We start from the raw sequence: 5,197 nt of genomic DNA on the forward strand, positions 1-5,197 counted from the left end.
TACATCCATGTTACTATAGATACCTTTTCTCATCTTGTATTGGCAACTTGCCAAACAGGAGAGGCAGCTGCTCATATTAAAAGACATTTACTTTCCTGTTTCGCTGCCATGGGCATCCTACAAAAGATTAAAACACACAATGGCCCAGGCTACTGTAGTAAATCTTTACAAGCATTCCTTCAACAATGGCACATTGAGCACAGTACTGGAATACCCTATAATTCTCAAGGCCAAGCCATTGTTGAACAGGCTAATCAAACCTTAAATTCTCAATGACAAAAACAAAACACAGAGTGGGGAAACAGAATACTCTACTCCCCATATGCAGCTACAATTGGCTCACATAACTTTAAATTTTTTGAATTTGTCTAGAGATCAGGTTACAACGGAAGCAGAGCAGCATTTGACAGGGCAAAGAATAAATCCTCATGAAGGAAAACATGTGTGGTGGAAGGACGTCAGAACCAAAACCTGGGAAAAGGCAAAATCATTACATGGGATCAAGGGTTTGCTTGTATCTCACCAGAAGGTAATCAGCTTCCCGTCTGGGTACCCACAAGACATCTTAAGCTGTGCCATGAGCCAGAATCCAAGGAAGAGGTAAAAACCTCAGAACGTCCCTGCACCCCCAGTTTGTCAGATGGCTCAGATGAACATCTCTGTCGAGCAGATGGAAACGGTAAAACTCCCCATGGAACTCCACTGACCTGGGGGCAAATGAAGAGACTAGCTCACATTGCAAAAGACAACCTGAGGTCTCAGAACAAGCTGCTGACCACCAGTAATCTAATGGTAGCTATGATGGCAGTAACCTCCCTGGCGGTGAGTCTCCCGATAGCTGAGGCAGATCAAAATTACCCTTATTGGGCCTACACTCCATTCCCACCACTGATGAGGCCTGTTACATGGTTAGACCCCCTGGTGGAGGTTTATGTTAATGATAGTGTCTGGATGCCTGGACCAAGAGATAACTGAGGTCCTACTCATCCAGAGGAGGAAGGAATGTTAACGAATGTTTCCATTGGTTATCGCTTTCCTCCCATCTGCCTAGGGCCAGATGCAGGATGTTTAAATTGTGATAAACAAAGTTGGATGGTTTATGTCCCTACACATAATGGATCAAAAGCCTCTATTCATGCAGTCAGTGGAAGAACATTTCAATCTTTGGACACTATTAAATACCGTGAGCACAGCTATGTTATGACACATCGCCAGATTAATAAATTTAAACCTAATAAGAAGCCCTGCCCTAGGCAGGCCATTAAATGATCTGGAAAGCTAGAGGTGCTAACCTGGGAAGATTGTATTGCAAACAGCGCTGCTGTACTGCAAAATAAATCCTATGGAATCATCATTCATTGGGCCCCTAGGGGACGCTTTGCAGTAAATTGTAGTGGACAGCACAAAGATTGTAGAGAGACTCCTATTGCAAATGATTACCCAGATAATGCACCAAAATTATATAGAAGAATTGAAACAAATTATCCTGTTAAGTGGGAGGAGAACAATATGGCTCCTCCAAGCCCAAAAATGATTGATCCAATTATAAGTCCAGAACATCCAGAATTGTGAAAATTAATGATGGCTCAAACCCCAATTTGGATTTGGAAAGGAGAATATAAAACAGAGACCCATAGTAAAAAACTTCGATTTGTTGTAGCCATAACCTCTAATCGGATGGCCCCATTGCAGAGTTGTGTTAAACCTCCTTTTATGCTGGCAGTGGGAAAAATTAGTATCCTATCTGACTCTCAAACCATATCGTGCCTCAACTGTCATCTTTTTACCTACATTAATTCTACCTTTAATAAAAATAATAGCATTTTACTGGTTAGGGCCCAAGAAGGAGTTTGGATACCTGTTTCCCTCAATAGGCGTTGGGAGGCCTCTCCCTCTATACATATTATCACTGAAGTACTAAAAGGAATACTTAATAGATCAAAGAGATTCATATTTACTTTAATAGCTGTGATCATGGGCCTTATAGCTGTCATAGCTACTGCTGCTGCTGCTGTTGTTGCTTTGCACTCGTCTATTCAAACTGCAGGCTTTGTAGATAGTTGGCAGAAAAATTCTTCTAACCTTTGGAATTCCAAAAGCCAAATAGATGAAAAATTGGCAAATCAAATTAATAATCTCTGTCAAACAGTAATTTGGATGGGGGATCGAATTATGAACTTGGAGCATAGAATTCAAATGCAATGTGATTGGAATACTTCTGATTTTTGTATTACTCCTAGCTCTTATAATGCCACTGAACACCATTGGGAGATTATTAGACTTCACCTACAAGGAAAAGAAGATAATTTAACAGTAGATATTGCTAAACTGAAAAAACGAGGTTTTGAGGCATCTCAGGCTCATCTCACCCTGCTGCCTGGAGCTGATATTCTTGCTGGAGCCACTGATGGCCTTTCTAATACCAATCCTTTAAAGTGGATAAAAACCATGGGTGGATCAACAATTGCAAATTTTATTTTGGTTTGTGTCTGTTTATGCTGTTTGTTTTTAGTCTACAGATGCGCATGGCACCTTGGGAGAGAAGCCAGACACCGTGAATGGGCCATGATAGCAATGGCAGTTAATAATAATAAAAAAAAAATTAATAAAGATAAAAAGGGGGACATGTGGGAAAGATAATTTCTGGGGTGCCAGTTGAGTTGGTCTCCCCTGGGTGAGACACCCATGGGAAGCCATGGGCAGCCTCTGAAAAGTCTCCTGATTGCCTTCATGTCTTTATGTCCCGAGAGCATAACCACTCAACAGCATTCCACAGGTTGCTCAGGGAGATAACACTCCCTTGAAGCAGTGGAGTATAATCAAACATCTTGGCTCCTCCTGATACCCGCTCCCACCCGTTTCAGTCCTGATAAGTTAAAGATCTTAAGTAGTTTAGACTCACACTTTTGCTCAAGGAAATTCACAGGAATCGCCACTGTTATACATCTTATCAAATGACTCAGGAGTTCTCCTTCACTGATTAATCCTTTTCCTCATCCCTTCCTCCCCCTCCCATCTGCCCAAAGAACAAAGATTTTGCAAACCAATAAATTGGGTGGAGCCCAAGAGCTCTGGGCTGTGAGCAAGTCTTCAATGCTCCAGTCCCCTGGATCCACCTTTTAAATGTTTATTCTGTCTCTTTCTAACTCCTTTGACTCTGCCAGACTCAGGGTACCCACTGGGTGGAGTGGAGCTGGTTTCCCCAACATTATTTATGCAAATTTCTGCAGCTGGCTTGAATTTCTCCTCAGAAAATGGGATTTTCTTTTCTATTGCCTTGTTAGGCTGCAAATTTTTCAAACTTTTATGCTCTGTTTCCCTTTTGAAACTGAATGCCTTTAAAAGCACCCAAGTCACCTCCTGAATACTTTGCTGCTTAGAAATTTCTTTGACCAGATGTCCTAAATCTCGTTCAAGTTCAAAGTTCCACAAATCTCTAGGGCTGGGGCAAAATGCTTCCAGGCTCCTTGCTAAAACATAACATGAGTCACCTTTGATCCAGTTCCCAAAAAGTTCCTTATCTCCATCTGAGACAACCTCAGCATGGATTTCATTGTCCATATCATTATCAGCATTTTGGTCAAAGCCATTCAACAAATCTCTAGGGAGTTCCAAACTTTCCCACATTTTCCTATCTTCTTTTGAGCCCTCCAAACTGTTCCAACCTCTGCGTGTTGCCCAGTTCCAAAGTCACTTCCACACTTTTCTGTATCTTTTCAGCAGTGCCCCACTCTACTGGTACTGATTTACTGTATTAGTTGATTTTCATGCTGCTGGTAAAGACATAACTGAGACTGGGCAATTTACAAAAAAAAAAAAAAAAAAAAAATGGTTGAATGGATTTACAGTTCCATGTGGCTTGGGAGGCCTCACAATCATGGTGGAAGTTGAAAGGCAGCAGGCAAAGAGAGCTTGTGCAAGGAAACTCCCATTTTTCAAACCATCAGATTTCTTGAGGTTTATTCACTATCATGAGAACACCACAGGAAAGACCTGCCCCCATGATTCAATCACCTCCCACTGGGTTCCTCCCATGACACATGTGAATTGTGGGAGTTACAATTCAAGATGAGATTTGTGTGGGGACACAGCCAAACCATATAAATGTGGATGCTGAAAAATTAGATCTTATGGAGGTAGAAAGTTAATTGATGGTTACCAGAGGCTGGGAAAGATACAGGGGAGAGGGTGAGAATTTAGTTAATGGGTACAAAAATTCAGTTAGATAGGAATAAGAGCTAATATTTGGTAGTCATTAGAGCAACTCTAGTTCCCAATAATCTGTGTAGTTCAAAATTGCTGAAGGAGAGAAAATGGAATGTTCTCAGTATAAAAATGGTATGAATGTTTGGGGGTAATGGATGGCTCAATTGCCCTGGTTAGATCTTACACATTATATGCACATGCACAAAATACCACATGTACACCAAAAATTTGTACAATTATTATGCATCAATAACCAAAATTAAAATATTTTTTCATTATAGTAAATACCCAAACCTGCAACATAGTAGTTTATAATCATTATCAAGTATTATATATTGTGCATAACTATAGGTACTCGATTTTCATAGGACTGGTAGCACAGACTTGTTTATATCAGCATCACCACAAACCTGTGAGTAATATATTGTTCTACAATATTGCAAGGGCTATGAAATCACGAGGAAATAGGAAATTTTCAGCTCCATTATAATCTTATGGCACTATGCTCATACATGAAGTTCATCATTGGCTAAAAACATTATAATGTGGCACCTGACCATATATATTTTAATATTTTCACCAGTTATTTTTTGGGGGAGTAGTTCTATGGAGCTCCTTACACTGCCATATTCTGGTAGTGAATTTCCAATTAATAGTGAATTGCATTCTCATGCTTGGTTTTATCCTAGTAATGTAATTTTATTAAAATTAATACACAAGACCTAAATGTTGAGAAACATAAGAATAATTTTTTCTATACACTTCCAAATTAGTTAACACTATTTATTAAATCTAAAATAAAGTGTCACTTTTATCACAGAAGATTTGTCTGACTTTCCAGGATTGTTCAAATTACTATATGTACCTTTAGCGCTTATGACAAGGATAATTTTCAATATTTAGGTCATTAATATTTAATGTATCCATCCTCAACTAAATTAAATATTTTATAAAGGTAGGATCTACAGGGTTATGGTTTGCTTGGTTTTCA

The 5,197-nt window shown here is 39.5% G+C and overlaps 1 annotated feature.

Moving 5' to 3' along the window:
* Positions 1–201: a silencer, noted in NCBI's record as "peak3756 fragment used in MPRA reporter construct". NCBI's record gives its function as "represses an SCP1 promoter by STARR-seq MPRAs in K562 erythroleukemia cells {active_cell/tissue: K562}" and the evidence as "EXISTENCE:reporter gene assay evidence [ECO:0000049][PMID:32103011]".

This window comes from Homo sapiens, chromosome 2 (genome assembly GCF_000001405.40).
Source record: "Homo sapiens chromosome 2, GRCh38.p14 Primary Assembly".
In the NCBI taxonomy this organism is placed as follows: domain Eukaryota; kingdom Metazoa; phylum Chordata; class Mammalia; order Primates; family Hominidae; genus Homo; species Homo sapiens.